Genomic DNA, 25627 nt, shown 5'->3' with positions numbered 1-25627 from the left:
GCTTAAAAAAGTATTTATATACTCCTTTTTACCTGGAAGATAATGTTTTATTCTTGATCCTCTTAATTTACAAGTTCACTTTTGATATTTACTTATAAAATTTTGTCATAGGGTGTAACAATGTTAACCTGATTGATCACTATTTACTTATTTTCATTTTTTAAAATGACTAGAAGTAACTGTTGTGTTAGTATCAGAGATATCATAAAAACATGATTAGCTAGACATATTTTAGTGTTAATACTAATGCAAAAATAAAATGAAGGCCAAATATTTATATCTAGAAATCTATCTATTTTTACGCACTTCATACTCCTATCAAAATATGCCATTCCTCTTAGGAAGTTAATGTTACATTCTAATTTCATAATTTATACCACAACTATGAAAATATGGACAACCATTTTATATTTTCGCTGCTATATATTTAATTTATTTTTATTCTTATTTTTTTCAACTTTTATTTTCAATTCAGGAGGTACATGTGCAGGTGTTTTACCTGGATCTATTGGATGATGCTGATGCTTGGAATACAAGTGATTCCGTCACCCAGGTATTGAGCATAATACGCAATAGTTTTTAGCACTCTCTCCTCTCCCTAACCCTCTCCTCTAGTAATCCCCAGTGTCTCTTATTGCCGTCTTTGTATTCATGAGTACCCAATGTTTAGCTCCAACTTAAAATTGAGAAGGTGCACTATATGGCTTTCTGTTCCTGCATTAATTTGCTTAGGATTATGGCCTCCAGCTGCATCCATATTGCCATAAAAGACATGATTTTGTTTTTTTTATGACTGTGTAGTATTCCGTGTTTTCTTTATTCAATCCACTGTTAATGGGCACCAAGGTTGATTCCATGTCTTTGTTATCGTAAATAACACTGAAGTGAACATACAATTGGATGTTTCTTTTTGGTATAATGATTTATTTTACTTTGACTACCTATCCAGTAATAGGATTTCGGGGTCAAATGGCAGCTCTGTTTTAAGTTATTTGAGAAATGTCTAAACTGTTTTCCATACTAGTTGAGCTAATTTACATTACTACCAAAGGTATATAAGTGTTCCCTTTTCTCTACAGCCTTGTGAGCATCTGTTGTTTTTTGACTTTTTAATAGTAGCCATTTTGACTGCTGTGAGATGGTATTTTATTATGGTTTTGACTTGCATTTTCCGATGATTAGTGATGTAGAAAATTTTTTTCATGTTGTTGGCCATGAGTTTGTCTTCTTTTGAGATAAGTCTGTTTTGTCTTTTGCCCACTTTTTAATGTGGTTCTTATTATTTTGCTTGTTGATTTAAGTTCCTCGTAGATTCTGGATATTAGATCTTGGTGTTGGATGGATAGTTTGTGAATATTTCTTCCCATTCTGTAGGTTGTCTATATACTCTATTGATAGTTTCTTTTGCTGTGCAGAAGCTCTTTAGTTTACTTAGGTCCCATGTGAATTTTCATTTTTGTTGCAATTGCTTTTCAGGACTTAGTCACAATTTCCCGAGTCCAATGTCCAGAATGGTATTTCCTAGTTATTCTTTTAGAATTCTTATAGTTTTAGATCTTACACGTAAATTTTTAATCTATCTTGAGTTAATTTTTGTATGCGGTGAAAGGTACGGGGTGCAGTTACTTTTTTCTGAGTGTTGCTAGCCAGCCATTCCAGCACCATTTATTGACCTTTTCCCATTGCTTATTTTTGTCGACTTTGTCAAAGATCAAGTGGCTGTAGGTGTACGACTTTACTTCTGAGTTCTTTATTCTTAAACTCCTTTTATAATTTACTTCAAACACCTCAGAACAACCATGTTGGTCCTATAAAAAAATACGTATTTTTTTGGTCAATTACAAGATATGCTAATCTACTAAGAGAGCTCAAATCATACTTGTCATAGAAATAACGGAAGTGTTTTTCTAGAAATTACTAAAACTCATCTTACAACCCAGTGAAAAAACGAGTGATTTTAATGTAAAAAACAAATAGTTTTTGAATTTAAGAAAATGTTAATTTTGGACGTTGCCTTCAGAGGATGAAAAATTCAGAATTTACTGGCCACTCTGAAAATATGTAAGAATTTTAGCCATTTCACTTAATATTCCTATTATATATTTATGTATATCAATGACAGCTATGTTTATTGTGATAGCAGTTGATTGTAGAATTTGCTGCTGGTGCAATGTCTTTTGTTTAACAGAAGGATTCTTACTAAACAAGTATGTCTATAATTCTTTGAATATATTGATTTGAGGTAATGTTTTATTTGGCATTCAAAAATATGTGATCTCAAATGAATGACTAAAAATTGACCAAGTGAAATGTTTCCCTGAACAATAAAAACAAGCCTAGAAAAGTTAACAATATTTGTAAATACATAAATTTGAATTAAAATGATAAAATTTGGCTGGGCGCGGTGGCTCACGCTTGTAATCCCAGCACTTTGGGAGGCCGAGGCGGGTGGCTCACCTGAGTTCGGGAGTTCGAGACCAGCCTGACCAACATGGAGAAACCCCATCTCTACTAAAAATAGAAAAATTAGCTGGGTGTGATGGCACATGCCTGTAATCCCAGCTGCTCAGGAGGCTGAGGCAGGAGAATTGCTTGAACCCAGGAGGTGGAGGTTGCTGTGAGCCGAGATAGTGCCATTGAACTCCAGCCTGGGCAACAGAGCTAGACTCCATCTCAAAAAGAAAAAAAAAGATAAAATTTGCCATACTGTTTAATATTTTTCCTGATTTCCTGTTCAGCTGATGTTCATGCTGCTGTGAATCTGTATTATGTAAGATAAATCACTCATTATCTGTTTTCTTTCTTCATCCTTCACTTTTTATTGCACTCTTTCTTTGGCATTTTTTGATAAAACTTTTGCCAATCACTTCCACATCTCTGGTGTTTAAAATTATATTGGATCCTTTAACAATGAGACCTTTCATGACTTTTGAATTTTCATTGCCTGTTACACTGCACATTTCAATTCTATGATGTTATATGTCTACACCCCTTATTAATACCTATTATATATTCCTCATAGTTTCCTTTATATCTGACACTGTGGCTGAATGATTTTACTTCATAGTTTATTTCTTGCGTTTAATGCTTAAACACAACTTTACATCCCTAAAAGGATCCATAGATTGCTACGTATGTTTCTACCTTGTTTAATATGGAATTCAGTTTGAAGCAGGTAGAAATAAGGATCTGTACCTATTTTTCGAAATAGCTAAATGTCCCAGCACCTTATTTAATGATCTTTCTTTCTCATTATTTTCCTGTGCCACTTGTTATCATATTATCTCAGAGATGTCCATAATTTTGGCTTGTTTTATCAATATGTAATCAAATGACATAACAGCTTTAATCATCATATGTTTTGTTTAACTAATATTGTCAAATATCTTGTATACATGTGCTTCCAATTATTATTTTTACATGTTTTCTTTTCAGTGCAATCTATTTATTTTTCCGGTTTCAGATGAAATTGTAAACTGCCTTATTATTTCTTGAAAGCTGGCATCTTCTAATCTCTCCCACCTGCTCAATTAAAAGAAAAATACTAGTGTTTTGAAAAACATTTTATTAGAATTACAAGTTAATTGAGAAAAATGGAAAAATTTGCATCAGTCATTAAATACCTTCAGGAACATGGCACAACCCTTGATTTCTTAAAATTGATAAATGATACGCATATGCTTCACCACAACAATGTAGATGTCGCCACATAGGTCCTATCTATGTCAAGTAATAGTATCCTTAGAATTTGTATATTGTGAAAGATGAGTATATTTATATATTACTGAAAAGTATTTTTCTGGTATAATTGTTATTTATGAATGTTGGAATATATGAAAGCTGTTGCTTTTCTAAATATTGCTTTTTAACTGACTACCTTACTGACTTCTTAGGAATAACTATTTTTATCATATTGCTTTTGTGGAACACGGCTAAATCATTCATAACTGATAATAATTTATCTTTCTTCTTAGGGTCATAATTTTCATTATATTTAATGCATTAAAAAACTCACATTTTTATGAGATGATTTAACAATTTTATATGTAGACCTGAGTAAGGAAGATGTGTAATTAATTAATACAGATTTAAACTGTTAATGATAGAAAAATATGTACAGTTTTAAGGTTCAGAAATTTTAAGGTCAATAAAGCAAAATTTTGAATTAAACTTAAAAGCATAAAAAGTTTAATGAAAACTTACAAAGCTCTAAAAGAAAAGACAATTCGAACCAGATAACATAAGGACATCATCAGAGCTGCTATTTTCTTGAAAATATTTATTAATCCCTGCAAATGCAAGCTTTTTGTTTAATATTCCCATCAGTAAAGGTGAGTAGATATATAAGCCCAAATCCACACAAGTGAAGAAATATAATAGGAAATTGTCATCATAATAAATTAAGGCCAGAGGGTGCTGTACTCTGAAAGAAAAGGTGAACCAGAAATAAACCTGAACTACAAGGCAAAATAAACAACATCATAGCATAAGATTTTAATAGATATGTCCTAACATATTTGTTGATCCTTATTTACAGGTAGAACAAGCAGGCCAAAAAATAAGTAAAGGTATACAAAATGTGAATAGCAGGATTAACAAATTTCATGTAAATGACACATGTAGAACTAGGAACACAACAAAAGCAGAACTGTATTTTATTTTATATTTTAGTTTTATAAGCCCATGTGGAACGTTTACAAAGGTTGACTGGTGCTAAGCCATAAACTTTACCTTATAAGAAATTAAAGATTAAAATCATATATCAAAGTGATATATGATTTTGATAATACAATTAACACCCAAATCAACAACAAAACAAAAACACATCCCCATATGTTTGAAAAATCAAGAATTTTAAATGTATATGAAAATTGTTTCAAAAAGGTTTCCACACAAGAAACTAGAACTATTATACGGTAATGATTATTAAAAATATTTTATATTAAAACTTGAGAGATGTAAGTAAATTGTATTTAGAGAGATATTAGAATTTATATACATATTTATATACATACATTTTGTGTGTATATACATATATACTTAATGTGACTATTAGAAAAGATGAATGGCTATATATTAAGGAGCAAGCATCCATCTCAGGACATTATTTTTAAAAATGTAAAAAATATTCTGCACAAATAAAGGGAAGAAATAATATAGTCAGAAATTAGTGAACTAGACCCAAAGTCATACAAAATTTGGCAATGTCAATGGTTGTTTTTTCAAAAAAAATTGAAACAACTTATAATGAAATTTATCAAGAAAAAAGACAGGAGACCGGGCTCGGTGGCTCACGCCTGTAATCCGCCTGTAATCCTAGCACTTCGGGAGGCCGAGGCGGTTGGACCACCTGACGTCAGGAGTTCAACACCAGCCTGGCTAACATGGTGAAACCCCATCTCTACTAAAAATACAGAAATTAGCCTGGCGTGGTGGAGACCGCCTGTAATCCCAGCTACTCCAGACGCTGAGGCAGGATAATGGCTTGAACCCAGGAGGCGGAGGTTGCAGTAAGCCGAGATCGCACCATTTCCCTCCAGCCTGGGCGACAGAGCGAAACTCTGTCCCCAAAACAAAACAAAACAAAACAAAAACAGGAAAAGAAAAATGACAGGAAATACAAACAATGTTAATAATGCAATGGTATACAAATACTGATAATAACAAATATAATAAGCATGCTTATGGCAACAACATTTAATATTTAGATGAAAAGGCCATATTCCTAGAAACAGACATAAGAAGAAATACAAAGAAAAAGCAAAACTAAAATAAAACTAAACAAAAACTGTATAAGGCAATTTAGAAAATGAAGTTTATGACCTCACAGTAGAAATTACTAGAAACAAAAATTAGAAACTACATATGTAAACTATCTTTATATTTATAGTTAACATAAATATTACCACAATAAATAATTGTGAGATTAGGTGTCTGATGGAAGTCTTCAATAAACTTAAGAACAGCATAAACCTAAAACTACACACATATATATGAAGAAAAAAAATAAATAAAATGAAAAATATATAAATATATTCTACAAATCAAGTAGAATACTAACATTAAAATTGAACAAATAGCAAATATGATTAGTAGACAAACATAAGTAAATATGTAAATAGGAATTTAAAAAAGGTGGAAACACTAAGAATCCATTAATGTATGTGATGTTGTAAAACCTTTAGTAGTCATTAGAAAATGAAACTTAGTATCAATTAAAATATCATTTCACAATCACCAGGTAGGTGGTAATTAAGAGTAGGTCTATATTAATTGTCAGGGGGTCAATTTGGAGCAAATAGAACTCTTATCCACTGCAAGGGATGTGTAGATTCATTTAATTATTTTGACAATCAGGTTACAGTTTCCTAGTGAAGCTCACCATGTGACTACCTTATGATTTATCATTTCCTCTGATTTCTTGCATGTGTGCACCAGGAAAAGTGTACTTACATGTCTATAGTAACGTTGTTCGGAATGACCAATAAAAACAGAAAGTTTTCGTGTAATCCCAGCTGCTTGGGAGGCTGAGGCAGGAGAATCACTTGAACCGGGAGGCAGAGGTTACAGTGAGCTGAGATCATGCCACTGCACTCCAGCCTGGGCAACAAGAGCAAAACTCTGTCTCAAAAAAAAAGAGATCAAGTTTTGTGGCATATTAAAAAAATAGAAAAATAGAATACACAATAAAAATATGAGTGAACCTCCAATACAATTTTGAACAACAGAAGTGAGTCACAGAAATCATTCTGTATAGCTTCATTTATTTAAAGTTTAAAAACAGACAAAACTGTACAATGTGTTGTTTAGTAACACATACGTGTTTCTGGTGATTTTCCGATATTTTCCACATATCCCTGCTTTGTGTTGTGTTGGGTAAAGGTGAGACACAATAAAACTTTTCATGAGATTTAAAATACAGCAGAAGACATTAATGGTAAAGGACATCCTGGGTGAAGGCAGTGTCGAACAGAAGCAGAGGTTCTGGCTTTCCTTATTGACGTCAACCCCACTGTGTGATAGCAACCCCAGTTCCATCCAGACATTGGCTGCAAACTCACAGAGCTGGTAATCTTCCCTTGACTGTTTACACCAGGCATTGTGCTTCCATTCCAGTGCTGGACATACCTCACTTCCTGTAAACACCAATGTGTTAATGAAGCCAGGCATGGTTAGTGATATTTTTCTGATTGTTTTTGGACCTCTCCTTCCCCACCTAATTTCACAATTACGTAAGTTCCAGTTTCCTATTATAAATTTTATATTCCTTTGCGTATAGTGGTTTTCCTTCCCTCATTGCAACCTTACTGATAAAACATACATATGTAGTTTTAAAACTATGTAGAAACAGAAAGATATTAATATAAATTCAGAATCGTGGTTACTCCTGAAGAAGGAGGAAAGAGTGTTATTGGGAAAGGCACATGGAGGGTTTTGAGAATAAATTAATATTTTATGTATTGTCCTGGAGTGTGGATATTTTGTATCATTTTTGTTTTATTATTGTTTTTAAAGCACATATATTTTTCATAAGCTTTTTATGATATATTTTACAATTCACTGCTCAGTATATTGAAAAGTAAACTTCTTATTGCTTACTGTCTTGAAAAAGTTTCTTTAAAAGGCCTAGTATGAAATAACAAAGTGCAAGAAACAACAATAAAACACACATAAACTAAATAACATTGAAGCAAGTTCGAACTTTTTTTATGACTAAAAGTATCGATTTTAACTGGCTCACCTCCAAAAGATTTGAAATATAAATACATTTGAGATAAGCCACAGTGTCTTTTACTACTAACTACGTAAACCAAATATGAAACAACAATTAGCTTTTTTGGCAGTAAAAATGTTTTATCAAAGGCCAAAATTATTTGGCTCACATCTAAGACATTTATAGAAGGCTAGAAAGTTGGGCATACATGAATGCCTTCTTATCATTTGATTAATGTACAGCTATTTGGAGGAGTAACGGGTCCATTTTACATGCAAGCAAAGAAATAATTTTGCTTTCAATTTGTTAATTTCTATTTGCTCTGACATTTGCTTTGTCTAAACAAGATGTTTCCAACGATCTGGTTTTGAGAGCTAAGATGAATTGCCTTTTGGAATGACTTTTTTATTAAACTATAAATTAAAGCAGAGAATTAAATCAATTCTTTTGCCAAAAAGGTACAACTGGTAACTGTTCCAATACATTTTCTCAGGGGCTACTTTTGCAGAATTACAAGGCAAGCAATATTGTGTCCGGAATTGGTGGGTTCTTGGTCTCACTGACTTCAAGAATGAAGCCGCGGACCCTCGCGCTGAGTGTTACAGCTCTTAAAGCGCGTGTCTGGAGTTGTTCGTTCCTCCTAGTGGGCTCATGGTCTCGCTGGCTCAGGAGTGAAGCTGCAGACCTTCGCAGTGTGCTCATAAAAGCAGTGTGGACCCAAAGAGCGAGCAGTAGCAACATTTATTGCAAAGCGTGAAAGAACAAATCTTCCACAGTATGGAAGGGGACCTGAGCAGGTTGCCACTGCTGACTGGGGCAGCCTGCTTTTATTCTCTTATCTGGCCCCACCCACATCTTGCTGATTGGTAGAGCCCAGTGGTCTGTTTTGACAGGGCGCCGATTGGTGCGTTTGCAATCCCTGAGCTAGATACAAATGTTCTCCACGTCCCCATCAGATTAGTTAGATAGAGAGTATGCACACAAAGGTTCTCCAAGACTCCACAGGAGCAGCTAGATACAGAGTGTCCATTGGTGCATCACAAACCCTGAGCTAGACACAGGGTGCTGATTAGTGTGTTTACAATCCCTGAGCTAGATATAAAGGTTCCCCACGTCCCCACCAGACTCAGGAGCCCAGCTGGCTTCACCCAGTGGATCCCGCACCAGGGCTGCAGGTGGAGCTGCCTGCCAGTCCTGAGCCATGCGCTCGTACTCTTCAGCCCTTGGGCGTCGATGGGACTGGGCGCCATGGAGCAGGGGGCGGCGCTCGTCAGGTAGGCTTGGGCTGCACAGGAACCCACGGAGGCGGGGGAAGGCTCAGGCATGGCGGGCTGCAGTCCCGAGGCCTGCCCCCGCGGGAAGGCAGCTAAGGCCCTGTGAGAAATCGAGCGCAGTGCCGGTGGGCTGGCACTGCTGGGGGACCCAGTACAACCTCCGCAGCCGCTGGCTCAGGTGCTAAGCCACTCATTGCCCGGGGTCGGCAGGGCCGGCCGGCTGCTCCGGGTGCAGGGCCCGCCAAGCCCACGCCCACCCGGAACTTCAGCTGGCCCGCAAGCGCCGCACGCAGCCCTGGTTCCCACTCGCGCCTCTCCCTCCACACCTCCCTGCAAGCTGAGGGAGTGGGCTCCAGCCTTGGCCAGCCTGGAAGGGGGCTTCTACAGTGCAGCGGTGGGCTGAAGGGCTCCTCAAGTGCCGCCAAAGTGGGAGCCCAGGCAGAGGAGGCGCCCAGAGCGAGTGAGGGCTGTGAGGACTGCCAGCACGCTGTCACCTCTCAATATGGCTGCCTTTACTCAAGCATATGGATTTAGTGGAAAGATCTGATGGAAGTCTTCAGCTTATAAAGATAATAAAAGCCATTCTCCAATTCAATCAAAAGGAAAATATGAGTATTTTATGAAAATATCCAAAATTTAATTTTCATTCTTCAAAATATCAAGTCGTGTATTATGTCTTCTGCACAAATTTGTAAGTACTGTTTATTACAGACTATTTAATTAGTTGTTTCATGGTTGAGGCTTCCAACTGTAAGCTTACATAAGAGCTGTGGCTATAGTTCTCTTTTATTCTACATATCACACTCTAATAACTTGACTGTTTACATATATGTGTTTTCATTAGTTCTACATTAGTAGGGTTTTTTTTTAATTTTGATATTTCACCCTGAATTACAGCCTTATTTCTCTTTTTCCAGAGAATAATCACCATTCATCGTCTTCTTCATTCCCCCTTGTCCCTTTCTCTTCGGAACCTAGGTTTTTTGAAGGGGAGAGGGGAGGCACTCCCACACATTCCTCGGAATTGCAACTTGGCAGTAACCTCAATGATGTTCATATTACAAAATCTAAATGCCAGTTTCTTTCCCTTATCCACCACAATTAAGTGATATTTACAGACAAGTATTTCAGACTTCCTGAAATACATTTCTGTATTTCTTTCAAGAAGTTACTCTCCTTCAATTCTGCTTCTACCTCAGGTAACCTTAGAAAGAATCGTAACTTTGGATTGCTGATCACAACAATGTGCTCTGTGCTCAGCCCTTGGATAACTTCTTGCCTCTATTTACACTCACACTCGAAGGGACCTTATGTAGTCAGCATATGTAGGCGAATGCTGACCTCTCCCAAATGCATAACTGCAATCCTGACAGCTTCTCTGAAATACAGGCTCATCTATTCAATTATGGATTCAATGTCTCTACATGAATGTCTACTAGTTTTTACAAACTTAAATTGTGCCACACAGAACTTACTATTTCTGCCCTTCCCACATGCAAATTATTTTTTCTTGACCTTTCTCATTCTTCTGTCCTTGATACACCAATAGGTGCTGGCAGCTCTACCTTCAAATACTTCTGGAATCTGACTATTCTAACAACTCCTGTCAACACAACCATCATTTCTTTCTATGAATATGAACAGTTTTTCCCAATGCTTCTGCCTCTTTTCATCATGGTCTCACCATCATATTCTACTTTATACGCACTTGTTTAGGCTATCCTTTCAAAATATAAGTCTTTGTCATTCTTTACTGAAAATCCTTGTCTTCACTAGACAACTTTGGTATTTTAGTTCTTATCATGGACTACGAGGCTCTACCTTTCCCTCCTCCTATTTTAATTTTTACTTTTTGTTATTAACATTATCATAATTTATTTTTAGCATAACAACAATTATTGTTATGATGATGATGTCTCCATCTTTCACAAAAAGAAATTGAGTTGTCTTAACTCCAAAGACATATGTATTAAAGTAAATTAAATAAAAATTGGTGATAAAAGATAAAAAGAGGAAATACCCATATTTTAATGTACATTGAATTAGGCTCTGAGCTTTGTGCCAGCCAGAGTAAATAGGGAAACATAATTGCTTTCATACTTATCAGAAATATGCTCACTTCTCAGGGAAGTACTTTTTTCCTGATACTGAAATCTGAAATAAATGTTCAATGAGATTTGTATGGATGATACTGAACTATGCATTATTATATACCTTCAACTTTAGTTTACAGAAAACACAGAAGTGTGTTCACAAGCTCATGGATTGAAACCTAGCATTTAATGCTGAAACATTCAGTCAGTGGTGGTAGCTGCCTGGACACAGCTATGATACAGGGGGGCACAGCCAGGAAGAGTCAGGAGGCCAGGTTTTCCATGTGTTCTTAGGCAGGTCATCTGGTTTTCTGGTTTCCAGTTTCATCATCTATAAATTAAAAGAGTTGTGGCTTGGTAATCTTTTGTTCCTGATGTTAAGTGCTCTTTTAATACATTCATAATTTGTTAGTCTGTTCTTCTGTTGCTATGAATACCTAAGTCTGGGTAATTTGCAAAGAAAAGAGGTTTAATTGGCTGACAATTCTGCAAATGCAAGGTGTACAGGAAGCATGGTAATGTTACCTGCTAGGCTTCCAGGGGAGGCTTCAGGAAGCTTTTACTGAAGCGAAAAGGCAAAGCAGAAGCAGGCACATCACATGGCAAAAGCAGGAGTACAAGAGAAAGCAAGGGGAAGATGCCACACACTTTTAAACAATCAGATCTCACAATAACTCACTCACTATCAGTAGGAAATCACCAAGGGGGTGGTGCCAAACCATTCATGAGAAATCCACCCCCATGATCTAGTCACCTCCCTACAGGCGCGACACCCAACACTGGAGATTACGTTTCAGTATGAGATTTGGAGGACACATCCAAGCTTTAGCATATGGTGTGATTTCAAAGCCGGCTTCCTAACCTCTCTCAATTCGTTGTCTTCTGTATGAAACACTATTTGTAAAGTGAACTAAAGTAGAAGGAAAAATAAGAATCACTTTCTGTCTTCCGGTTTTCTAAAGAAAACCAGGAGACAGAAAACTGGGTTCCAACTCCCATTTTAACTGCCGCCTGTATGTTGGCAAATCCCTTCCTCTTTCTGGGCCTCAGTGTCTGCATCAGTAAATGTTGGACATGAATTAAAGAAATTCTAGGATTTTATCCTTTTCATCTACTAACTGTCTCAGATGATCCCAGTAGTAGCGTCTGGTGCCATGACGGGCTACTTTAGCCTGTGTGTGTGACCCCGCTTAGGGCAGGATAATCTCTGCCTTTGGCCTTTTCAGCCTCAATGCCAGCCTGTCATGCTGGGCATGCTCAGTATAGAGACCCATAAGCCTCTGGGCATCTTCCTTTTGGACCCCTTCATGGAACAGGTATCCTGACTTCTTCTCAGATCTGTTAACTAGAGACATAGAAGTATATTCAAAGTCTTTTCTTCAGAAGCACATTCGAACACAAGTCTCCATCAGACACAGCCACACATATTATATTAACTCAACAAGTCCTTAACCGCCCAGGAAATAGTTTGGGCAGGACAATATGAAGTCTGACTTACTTATCATTTCCATTATGCACCAAATATTCTGCAGGTTTCTCAAAGTGACCATCTAGCCAGACAAATCAGGCAGGAGCAAGAAATAAAAGGCATTCAAATAGGAAAAGAAGTCTACTTATCTCTCTTCACTGATGTGATTCTATACCTAGAAAATCCTAAGCCTCTGTGAAAAGGCTCCTAGAACTGATAAATGACTTTAATACAGTTTCAGGATACAAAATTGATGTCAAAAATCAGTAGCATTTATATACACCAAGAATGTTCAAGCTGAGAGTCAAATTAAGAATATAATCCCATTTATAATAGCCACAAAATAAATGAGATACCTGGGAATACAGCTAACTAAGGAGGTGAAAGATCTCTACAAGAAGAACTACAAAACACTGCTGAAATATATCAGAGATGACACAAAGAAATGGAAAAATATTTCATGTTCATAGATTGGAAGAATCGATATTGTTAAAATGGCCATACTGCCCAAGGCAAGTTACAGATTCAATGCTATTCTTATCAAACTACAAATATCATTCTTCACAGAATTAAATAAAATTATTCCAAAAGTTCACATGGAACCCAAAAAAAGTCCAAATAGCCAAAGCAAGCCTAAGCAAAAAGAACAAAGCTGAAGGCATCATATTACCCAACTTCAAACTATACTTTAAGGCTACAGTAACCAAAAGAGTGTGGCACTAAAACAAGAACAGATAGAACACATGCAACACAAAAACACATAGAACAATGGAACAGCATACTGAACCCAGAAAAGCTGCACATGTACAACAATTTGATCTTTGACAAAGCTGACAAAAACAATTAATGGGGAAAGAAAAAGCTATTTAATAGATACTGCTGGGATAACTGGTCAGCTATATGCAGAAGAATGAAACGGGACCCCAACCTTGCACCATATAAAAAATTAGCTCAAAATGGATTAAAGATTTACATGTAAGACCTCAATATGTAAAATATAAAAATTCTAAAAGAAAACCTAGGAAATAGCATTTTGAACATTGACCTTGTGAAATATTTACGACAGTCTTCAAAAGCAATTACAGCAAAAACAAAAATTGACAAGCATTGCCTAATTAAATTAAAGAGCTTCTACACAGCAAAACAAAGTATCAACAGAGTAGACAGACAACCTAAAGAATGGGAGAAAATACTCCCAAACTCTGCACCTGACGAAGGTTTAATATCCAGAATCTATACGAAACAAACAAATCAATAAGCAAAAAAAAAAACCCACATTTAAAAAGTGGGCAAAGGACATGAACTCCAAAGAAGATACCCAAATGACCAGCAAACATGATAAAATGCTCATCATCACTAATCTTCAGAGAAATGTAAGTCAAAAACTACAGCTTGATACCAGTCACTGTAAATACAGTGACCCATTCTCAAACCAGTCAGAGTGGCTACTATAACAAATAAAAAAATAACAGATGCTGATGAGGCTATGGAGAAAATGGAATCCTTATACTCTCTTTTGGGGAATGTAAATTAGTTCAGCCTCTGTGGAAAGCCATTTGGACATTTCTCCAAGAGAAACAGTGCTACCATTCAACCCAGCAATGTCATTACTGGGTATATACCCAAAAGAAAATAAATTATTCTACCAAAAAGACACAGGCACTTGCATATGCATCACAGCACTATTCACAATAGCAAACACATGGAATCTACCTAGGTGCCCTTCAGTGGTGGATCGGATTGAATAAAGAGAATGTGATACATATATTCCATTGAATACTAGGCAGTTTGGAAAAGAATGAAATCATGTCTTTTGCAGCAACATATATGCAACTGGAGGCCATAATCCTTAGTGAATTAACACAGAAACAGAAAACCAAATACTACATATTCTCACTTACAAGTGGGAGATTAACACTGAGCACACATGAACATAAACATGGGAACAGTAGACAGTGGAGCTAGTAGAGGAGGGAGGGAGCGAGGGTTAAACAACTACCTATTGGGTACTATGCTTACCACCTGGGTGACAGAATCCATACCCCAAACCTCAGCATCATGCAACATATTCATGTTAACAAACTGGGACATGTACCACCTGCCCCTCCTATTTGAACACTGTCTTCCTTCATCAGGCAACTCCAGCATGATGATCCCTCTGTGATGAATCAAATATATTGTGCCCTCTTCTTGGGATATATTTCATTAGTTATTTATATGACTAGTGGTTATATATTTTTCATTTGCTATGTCTTCCTTTATTCTTTTATTTTTTGTTTTTAGCATTTTGTATTCATTTCATTTATTTATATGCTTATTTATTTACTTATTTATTTTATCATAGTCAAACATTAGTATTTTCTTTCCTTCAAAATTTAAGTAATGTACTATAAAAATAGTAATACTTAATGTATATATTTAGACATATTTGACCCTCACATATTAGTTTGCATGTGTATGTATACATACATATATATAAAATATAAATATACACATATATAAATTGTTAATTTTTAACATATTCTAGTTGCCATGATTTAGAAAATGTTTAAAATAATTATGTCACATGAACATTTTCCAGAAACATTTGGTAGATTCAGAGACTGTAATATTCTTAGTGTGGAAATCTTCAACTCCCATGTAGCTCTAGTTAAAAGTTATTTTTAATCTTATGTTTTCCACTTGATAATATTTTTGAAGTCAGAAATCTAAACGTTCTTACTTAACGTATATTTTATGCTTATTGATGTGTTGACATATATTATCTATTTACAACAAATTATCACTCATATGGTACAATACTGTCAGATGAAAAAGGATAAAACAAATTCCCTCATAGTGTAGATATTTAGATTAAAAGATTTAACCAAGATTAAAAGAAAAAGATTACATAGGTGGAAGTATAATAATCCAGCTACTAGATCAATACTTTTTCAATTGTATGATGCTGTTTCCTAGTTATCAGGATAAAAAAAATCCACAGTGACAAAGCAGGTTTTTAAAAACATATATTTGTGCTTTATTTTAAAAAGTGAGAAGGTAGGGGAAAATAGTTTTTTAAATGTAAAAAAATAATATTAATGTTATCCCTATGGATAAATACATCAAAGTTTTCTTACTATGTATTTGTTCTAACATACGAAATTTTTATCACTTGACGTATTTTAAGCATAAATATCAGTCATTAAACTCAAAATGTCATATTATACTTTTGATATAAGAACTTTTAATTTGTGAAAATATATATTTTTAGTGCCAAAATAATAGTCTAACAATAAATGTCAAAAATGTATTAAGTAGGCCTTGATCATTGAGCATTGGTGTCATTTTGAAGTTTTGATTCTGTGTTTAAATAATGTATTTTATTTTTGTCAATTTTGTTTTTCGTAAAATGCTTTTTCAAAGTATTTTAATGACTTTATAATATTCTATTATATAAAATCTAAAACAATCTCATGTCTTCTATATTTTTCATTACTATTAAGTGTGTTAGTTACCATTAAGTGTGTGTTTTTTCAATAAAGAAAGCATTCTTTACAAAGCAGGTCCCTGGCATCTGGCATTTACTACTTGTCCGTTAGCCCTACAAGTAAGGGACAACCATTATGACAAGAGTGCAATCTTTGAATATTTACATATTTCACAAATCAAAAACAATAATTTAAACATGATTAAAATTCAGATCACATATTGGGGAAATATTTTAAGAAAGGGATTTTTATTTCAAACCATTAAAATACAATAGTATACATATACACACATATACATAATATTAATTATAGATATAATAATGTGTTATATATACCTATTTATAGATAAATACCATTAAAATACAATTGTATATATACACACATAAATATATATTAAATAATTTAATATATTTTAATTTATGTAAATATGTATGTAAATACACACTTAAGATATTTACATATGATTATATAAATATATGTAAATATATATTTATATTTGTGTGTATATATACAATTATGTTTTAATGTATATTTTATACAATTATGTTTTAATGTATATTTTATACATTAAAGGATATTATATATATACCTCCTTTCAGTTTGCCTGGCTAAGATTAAATAAAATGATATAGCAACAATATATGGCAAATATATGGCAGAGTCTTAACAATAGTGGCAGAGTCTTAATGTTAGAAACTTAAAGTGGGACAGAAAGTGTGCCAATAAACTTTGCCACATAGATGTAGAGATCTTTAAAAATATCTTTATTTTTAAATCAAAACTATCTGAGGTAATTACTTGACAGGTATATTCCTGAGACTGAAACTGAATATACTGAATCAAAACCTCTGAGAATGGTATCCCTGGACATATATTTTATATAAGCTCCTAGGTTATTCTTGAACAAACTAAATTTTGAGAACTATTTTGAGTTGTATTTGCATGCTAAAATGTGTTGTAAAAAATGTTTAATTAATGTTAATTGTGATAGCATTAACTCAAAATGTTACACATCCAACCATAGAAAATTGTAGAATTCAGGCTTTTTAAAAATTTTATGTCCTTTGCCCATTTTTTAAAAACGGGGTTATTTGGTTTTTCCTTATTTGTTTAAGTTCCTCATAGGTTCTGAATATTAGACCCCTGTTGGATGCATAGTTTATGAATATTTTCTCCCATTTTGTTGATTGTCTCTTTACTCTGTTTATAGTTTCTTTTGCTGTGCAGAGGCTCTTTAATTAGGTTCCACTTGTCAATTTTTGTGTTTGTTGCAGTTGCTTTTGAGGACTCAACAAAAAATTCTTTGGCAAGGCTAATGTGAAGAAGAGTAATTCCTAGGTTTTCTTTTAAGATTTTTATAGTTTGATGTCTTGCATTTAAACCTTTAATTCATCTTTACCTAATTTTTGTATATGGCACAAGGTAAGGATCCAGTTTTCTTCTTCTGCGTGTAGCAGAAGTTTTCATAGCATCATTTATTTATGGGGAAGTCACTTCCTAATTGCTTGTTTTTGTCAACTTTTTCGAAAATCAGGTGGTTGTAGGTATACAGCTTTATTTCTGGATTCTCTATTTTGTTCCATTGGTCTTTATGTTCTAGTAGTGTGCTGTTTTGATTACTGTATCCTTATAGCATAGTTTGAAGTCAGGTAATGTGATACCTCTGGCTTTGTTCTTTTTGCTTATTATTACTTTGGCTGATCAGGCTCTTTTTTGGTTCCATATGAATTTTAAAATAGTTTTGTTTAATTCTGTGAAAAAATGATACTTGTCATTTGACAGAAGTAGTGTTGAATCTGTAAATGGCTATTTTAACAATATTGATTCTTCTAATTCATGAGCATGGAATGTTTTTCCATTTCTTTGTGTCATCTCTGATTTCTTTCAGTAGTGTTCTGTGGTTGTCCTTGTAGAGATATTTTACCTCCTTGGTTAGATGCATTCCTAGGTATTTTATTTATTTTTTGGATATTGTAAATGAAATTGTGTTCTTGATTTGACTCTCAGCTTGAACATTATTGGTGTGTAGAAATGTTACTGACTTTTGTACATTGATTTTGTATCCTAAAACTTTACTAAAGTCATTAATCAGTTCTAAAAACCTTATGGCAGAGACTTTAAGGTTTTCTCAGTACAGAATCATATCATCAGTGAGGAGAGATATTTGGACTACTTCTTTTCCTATTTGGATGTCTTTTATTTCTTTCTCTTGCCTGATTACTCTGGCTAGGAATTCCAGTGCTGTGTTGAATAGGAGAGTGAGAGTGGGTGTCCTTGTTTAGTTCCATTTCTCAAAGGGGCTGGTTCCAGCTTTTGCCCTTCAGTGTGATGTTGGCTGTGAGGTTGTCATAAACGGCTCTATTTTTTTGAGGTATGTTTGTTTGATACCTAGTCTGTGGAGGGTTTTTATCGTGAAGAAATGTTTGATTTTCTCAAAAAGATTTTTCTGTCTCTATTGGGATTATCAGATGGTTTTTGCTTTTAATTCTGTTGATGATTCACATTTATTGATTTGTGTATGTTGAACTAGCCTTGCATTCCAACAACAAAGCCAACTTGATGGTAGGGAATTAACTTTTTGATGTGCTTCTGGATTTTGTTTACTGGTATTTTGTTGAGGAGTCTTGCTTAGACTAAACAGAAATATTGGCCTAAATTTTTTTGTTGCTCTTTGCCAGATTTTGGTGTCAGTCAGATACTGGCTGCATTAAATGAGTTAGGGAGGAGCCCCTCCTCATCTATTTTTTTGAATAGTTTTAGTAGAATTGATACCAGTTCTTTATACATCTGGTAGAATTTTGCTATTAATCTATCTGGTTCCAGAGCTTTTTATTTGGTTGGTAGTTTTTAAATTACTGATTCAGGCAAAGAACATAACAGATGCTTTTCAAAAAAAGACATGCAAGCACTCAATTAATATGAAAAAATATTCAACATCAATAATCATTAGAGAAATGAAAATCAAAACTGCAGTGAGATGCCATCTCATATCAGTCACAATGACCATTATTAAAAAGTCAAATAATAACAGATACTGTCAAGTCTGTGAAAATAAAGAGAATGCTTATAAACTGTTGGTGGGAATGTAAATAAATTCAGCAACTGTGGAAAACAGTTTGGAGATTTTTCAAAGACTTAAAACTGAACTACCATTTGACCTAGCAACTTCATTACTGGGTATATACCCAAAGGAAAATAAATTATTCTGTCAAAAAGACATATGCACTCATGTGTTCATCTCAGCACTACTCACAATAGTGAATCAACCTAGGTACTTATCAATGTTGGATTGGATAAAGAGAAGGTAATATAAACATACTATGGAATACTATGCAGCCATGAAAAAAAGAATGAAATTATGTCCTTTGCAGCAATATTGATACAACCGGAGGCCATTATCATGAATGAATTAACAGGGGAATAGAAGACCAAATAGTGTGTGTTTCTACCTTTAAGTAGGAGCTGCGTGCTCATGGACATATAGAAGAGAACAGTAGACGTTGTGGTCTACTGGGAAGTGAGGGAGTGGGGGGGAGAAGGAGGGAATGGACTGGAAAACTACTTATTGGATACTATGCTCACTATTTTGGTGAGGTACCCCAAACCTCAGCTTCACACAGTATACCCATGTAACAAATATGTACATTTGCCTCCTGAATCTAAAATAAAAGTTGAAATAATAATAAGAATTAAAAAATAAAATATCCCCCTTCCTATTCTGTAAAATAGATGGAATAAAAATAGTCAAAATTGTTCAAAGTGGGAAAAAATAAAGACAGAAGATTGCATATGAAAATTCTTAACCTTTATTGCACATTAAGTGTATTATTAATAAACTCAGTATGCATGAGTTATGTTCATTACTGATTTTCTAAAGCAACTAACAATTGATGGAGGTTTTCAGTTCCACAGGTACAATCACAGAGGTCTATGGTTGCAAAGGAGTTATATAAATATAAATGAAAAGTGTTTAGAAATATATTCCAATAAATTTACATCCATTTGTATTTAAATACCCTAACTTCTGGTAAGAGTAATTGTTTCTCGTTCTCTCTCTCGCTCCCCCCTTTTCTTTCCCTCTCTGTTTGTATTTTTTCTCCTTCTACTCTTACCTTTTATGCACCTTTCTGCCAATCTTCATCTCTGCTTTGAAAAAGCAGATTTAAGGAGATATTCAGGTGTTTATTATTTTAGAATAAATTTATTTTAATTCCAGCTTTATACAGCTGTTTATGTTATATTAGTTGTTTTTCCTACTATACAGATACTTCATTTTCTCTGCTAAATACTGATTTAGGATGCCAAGTATACATTTATGTACAAAAACTAAGAGTGAGTATTAAAATCTAATTAGGTAACATGAGTTTTTAAATATTTTCTCTTACTTCTTTCCAATATTCTCATCTTAATATCATGATTTTAATATTTACCATCCTCTTACCCTGAAATGTCTTATTTTTACAACAAAGTTTTAATCAAATACAGAACTATGGCATGATTCCATAATGTCTTAGTTCATTTTGTTCTGCTATAACAGAATACTGCAGACTGGATAATTAATAATGAACAGTAATTTATTGGCTTACAATTCTGAAGACTTGGAAGTCCATCATTATGACAGCAGCCTCTGGTGGGGGCCTTTTTGCAGAGTGATCACATGGCAAAAGGCATTACATGGAAGAAGGGAAAAGAGAGAGAGGGCAATAGGGGGCTTATCTTGCCTGTCTGTGGTGGCATTAGTCCCAACCCTTAGGGCAGAGCCCTTATAGTCTAATCACCTTTTAAAGGTCCCAACCGTTAATACTTTTACAATGGCATTAAGTATATTTCAACTTGAGGGAACAGACATCCAAACCATAGCAAATGTGAATACCATAAAGCATTTAAAATTCATGCCCTGTGGATTTTAGATTTTTACAGATTACAGTTTAAATTAAAGCGAAGCCATTTACTCTCTATGAGAGGTTAACTCCCTAGGCTAAAATTTTCTCAAGATTATAAATGGAGAAAAATAATACTTGCTTCTTACATTTATACTAGGGGTAAAATAATATTTAAAGTAGGCATAATTTTTGACATAAAATTATTTTTTAAACAGACTACTCATTTTCAAATATGCAAAAATTTCACAAGTTAATTTTTTCCACTTATTTATTGCATTGGTTTTGTGTCTTTCCTCAGATGTAATAAAATCTTTGATTAAACTTTTATGGATGTTTTATATGTTCTTAAATATTGTCTCACATATACACACTTCAATCATTATTAATTGATTCAGAGATTCTTACATCTCCATACTCTCTTAATATGCATTTTCATTTTGGATCTTATTTAAATTGTGGTGCAATTCCTAGTTTATCTTTTAAATTTCTTCAACTGAATCAGTGAAGCAAGTGACTATATTTTGTTATTATTAATCATTAGATGTTAGCTCCATGCCTATCACAATAAAAGTACAGACAAAACATATTCAAATAAATGACTAATCATACATGAATTAAAATCAAAAGCATTCATTTGAATAATCTTACCCTTGAAGAACTTCATTTGACCATGAACAATATATAGTTTTTACTGAGACAGAAATTAAATACTCATTTAAATGGATTTAGGTCCAAGTTACTGAATACTTTAAGGAGTATCTGGCAAATAATACATGAACGAGTTGTGTTGAATCAATATTATTAAATATCCATTAATTAAATATTCATTAATTGAGTAATCAACAAACAATAAAAAATTCTCTATATACCATAGTTTATAATACTGATATTTGCTGATGTTTATATCACTTTTTAATTTACTTAGTTAATAATATATTCATATGGTATACCAGGTAGTCTGTAAGAGCACAAGAATGTAAAACTTTAGAGATTACAAACCTTTCTTTCTATGGGATTTACCTATCTGTTTTCTATTCTATATTCTGAAAATCTCAAAAGCTAAATTACAAGACTCTTCTCTTCGAATATCTAGGATGTAATAGAGAGCATCGTGTAGACTCTGGTATGTAAGCCAAGTCTCTACAACCCTCAGGATTAAAGCACTCCTTCTCCCAGCAACTGGGAGCATCGATAGCCAACAGCATGCAGCTAAGTTCCCTCTCCCAGACTATGTCCTTGGCTAAACAGAGTCAACTCACTTCTTAGCCCATTTGCTTTGGATGAAGGAGCCTCCTTGCCTCATCCAATGGCATGAATGCAGGGAGTATAAGCACTCTCTTACTTCATCTGGAGCAAATTTGCAGGGCTATCCCAAATCCAGAGATTTCTATCGCAGAGTCTGGGGCCTTTGACTGTGATGCTGCCCAACTGTGATGTTTAATTGTATATGTCACCTGGCCCATATATTGTGCCCAGATATTTTGTCAACCATTATTCTGGGTGTTTCTATGAGAATGTTTTTGAATGAGATTGACATTTAAACGGGTAGACTAACTAAAGCAAATTACCCTCCCTATTGTGGGTAAGGTCCTTCCAAAAAATTGAGAGCCTGGCTAGCTTTCCCTCGAGTAAGAAGGAATTTTTTCCTGCCTGATTGCCATTAGCTGAGATACTACTTTTGTTTTGCTTTGTTTTGTTTTCTGTCTTTGAACTAGAATTGAAATTATGACTCTTTCTGGGTCTCCAGCCTGCTACATTAAGACTGGAATTATACAATCAGTTGTCCTGGGTCTCCAGCTTGCCAGCTATAGATCTCAGGACTTGTCAGTCTACATAAAATTATAATAAATCTCTATGTCTATCTATCTATCTATCTATCTATCTATCTATCTATCTATCTATCTAACTATTATCCATCCATCCATCCATCTATCCATCCATCCATCTATCCATTCTTCCATCCATCCATCCATCCATCCGTCCATCTCCTATTGGTTCTGGTTCTGTTTCTCTGAAGAACCCTAATACCCTGTTTTTTACTTCTTTTAGCTCCTCAACTTTTCACAGGTGTGGTTACCAAGAGTAGTTTTCTTGGTAAGTAGTAAGAAGTAAACTTCCTGCATGTGCATGGGTCTCAGAGTTGCTTTTTGGGAACCCAATTTGTAACTGTGCTTAGCATCTAACCTTGCACTAAACATCACAGATAAATTCTTTTATCATTTTGCAATTTTTGAATGCAAAAACTATGTATTTTTTAAAAATCTCTAACATTCTTGTCATGCAAAAATATATGCAAATTATTTATCTTAAATTAGATCACTCAGTGATTGTCACTATACTAACCTATTAGCGATTTACGCCTAGTGTTCCAATAGTGGAACGCTATGCTTATGGGAGTTATTTACATCCTACTGCTCAAGGTCATCATCAAGGTCTGATTTTTCACACAAAAAAATTTGCAACCTCTGGCATAAACGGGTAAATCTCTGGTTTTTGAACACATTGTATACATTTTATACTTTACTTATTTAAAAGTTTACTTTATTCTCCTTTTTATATTTCCAATATAATTTCTTCTGCTCATTTAACTCCTACTGCTACTAAACTTTTCATCTTCTGTCATTCCAACTACATCTTATAATTCTGAGAATAAGTAAAACCACAAAAAGCAATTTGACCCTCCTATTAAATTATATTTTTAAAATGATGACTAAACAGATGATGAATATTGGGTCTCTTTATAAAATTGATGCAAAATTACCCTATAGAGGATTCTGGATTTTTGTTTTTTGAAGGGGTAGGGTGCTGACGGAGGGAGTGGGGAGGATTGGGAATATAAAAGAAGACACATGAAAGGTGAGGAGTGTTCTTTCCTTTCTTATTTTGCCAAGTATCCCCAGTGTTCTCTTGTTGACAATACATCTCCAATAGTTATACTAAAGGTGTTTAGGGCTGATAAACTATATTGTTCTTTTGCCTTGGTTTTGTTCATCATTTGCTGTCCTGGGCTTTCCAATTTTCCACAGCCAATTCCTTAATTTCTTCAGTTCTCCTCATCTGATTTCCCTAAAATTTATCTGCAAAGAGCGAGGAGGACAAGAAACAAAGAAGATGAAATACATATGAGAAACATGAAAGATGTCTTTCCCTGGCTAACTTGTTTTTAAATATTAATTAGGGATACTGATGATGACTCTCTACTAATATTTTAAAAAATCCTTTCAAACTCTGGCACCTTCCTGTCTGGTTTGACAGTCTTTTATTTTTTCTATTAAAAATTATTCTTTTAATTTTTATTTTGTGTTCAAGGGTACATGTGCAGATTTGTTATATAGCTAAATTGTATGTTGGGGGCTTTGGTGTACAGATTACTTTGTCTCCCAGGTAATAAACATAGTACCTGACAAGTAATTTTTTTTAAGACGGAATTTCGCTCTTTCACACAGGCTGGAGTTAAATGGTGCGATCTCGACTCACTGCAACCTCGGCCTCCCCAGTTCAAGTTATTCTCCTGCCTCAGCCTCACAGATAGCTGGGTTTATAGGCTCCCGCCACCATGCCTGGCTAATTTTTGTATTTTTAGTAGAGACAGGGTTTTGCCATGTTGGCCAGGCTGGTCTCGAACTCCTGACCTCAGATGACCCACCCTCCTCGGCCTCCCAAAGTGCTAGGATTACAGGCGTGAGCCACTGCACCCAGACCTGATGAGTAATTTTTTATCTTCACCTTCCTCCCACCTTCCATCCTCAAGTAGACCCCAGTGTCTGTTGTTCTCCTTCTAGTATTTATGTGTTCCCATTGCTTAGCACTTATAAGTGAGAACATGTGGTGTTTGGTTTTCTGTTCCTGTGTTAGTTTGGTTAAGATAATGGCCTCGGCCGGGCACGATGGCTCACGCCTGTAATCCCAGCACTTTGGGAGGCCAAGGCAGGCAGATCATGAGGTCAGGAGTTGGAGACCAGCCTGACCAACATGGTGAAACCCCATCTCTACTAAAAATACAAAAATTAGCTGGGCGCAGTGACGTGTGCCTGTAATCCCAACTATTCAGGAATCTCAGGCAGGAGAATTGCTTGAACCTAGGAGGTGGAGGTTGCAGTGAGCTGAGATCACACCACTGCCCTCCAGCCTGGGAGACAGAGCAAGACTCCGTCTCAAAAAAAAAAAAAAAAAAAAAAAAAAAAAAAAAAAAAAAAAAAAAAGATAATGGCCTCCAGCTCTATCCCTGTTTCTGTAAAGTACGTAATATTATTGTTTTTTATGGCTTCCTAGCATTCCATGGTGTATATGTACCACATTTTCTTTGTGCACTCATTCATTGATGAACACCTAGGTTGGTTCCATGTCTCTGGTAGTAAACTGCATGATGAAGAATATATGAGTGCATGTGTTCTTTTGGTACAATTATCTATTTTCCTTTGAGTATGTACCTAATAATGGGATTGCTGGGTCAAATGGTAATCCCGTTTTAGGTTATTTAAGTATTCATCAAACTGCTTTCCACAATGGCTGAACTAATTTATATTTCCATCAGCAGTGTATAAACATTTCCTTTTTTTCAAAATCTTTCCAGCATCTATTATTTATTTACTTTCCTTTTAATAATAGCCACTCTGACTCATGTGAGATATTATCTCATTGAGGTTTTGATTTGCATTGCTCTAATGATTGATGTCAAGCATTTTAAAATATGCTTGTTGGACATATCTATATCTTCTTTTGAAA

The 25627-nt window shown here is 34.7% G+C and overlaps 1 annotated feature.

Moving 5' to 3' along the window:
* Window positions 9192-9693: an enhancer, noted in NCBI's record as "H3K27ac-H3K4me1 hESC enhancer chr8:115397999-115398500 (GRCh37/hg19 assembly coordinates)". NCBI's record gives its function as "activates a minimal SCP1, AML or CMV promoter by ChIP-STARR-seq in primed H9 embryonic stem cells {active_cell/tissue: H9 hESC(primed)}" and the evidence as "EXISTENCE:reporter gene assay evidence [ECO:0000049][PMID:30033119]".

This window comes from Homo sapiens, chromosome 8 (assembly GCF_000001405.40).
Source record: "Homo sapiens chromosome 8, GRCh38.p14 Primary Assembly".
Lineage (NCBI taxonomy): Eukaryota > Metazoa > Chordata > Mammalia > Primates > Hominidae > Homo > Homo sapiens.
Note: the sequence above shows the minus strand (reverse complement) of the source record. Positions and strands in the feature narration are given on the sequence as shown.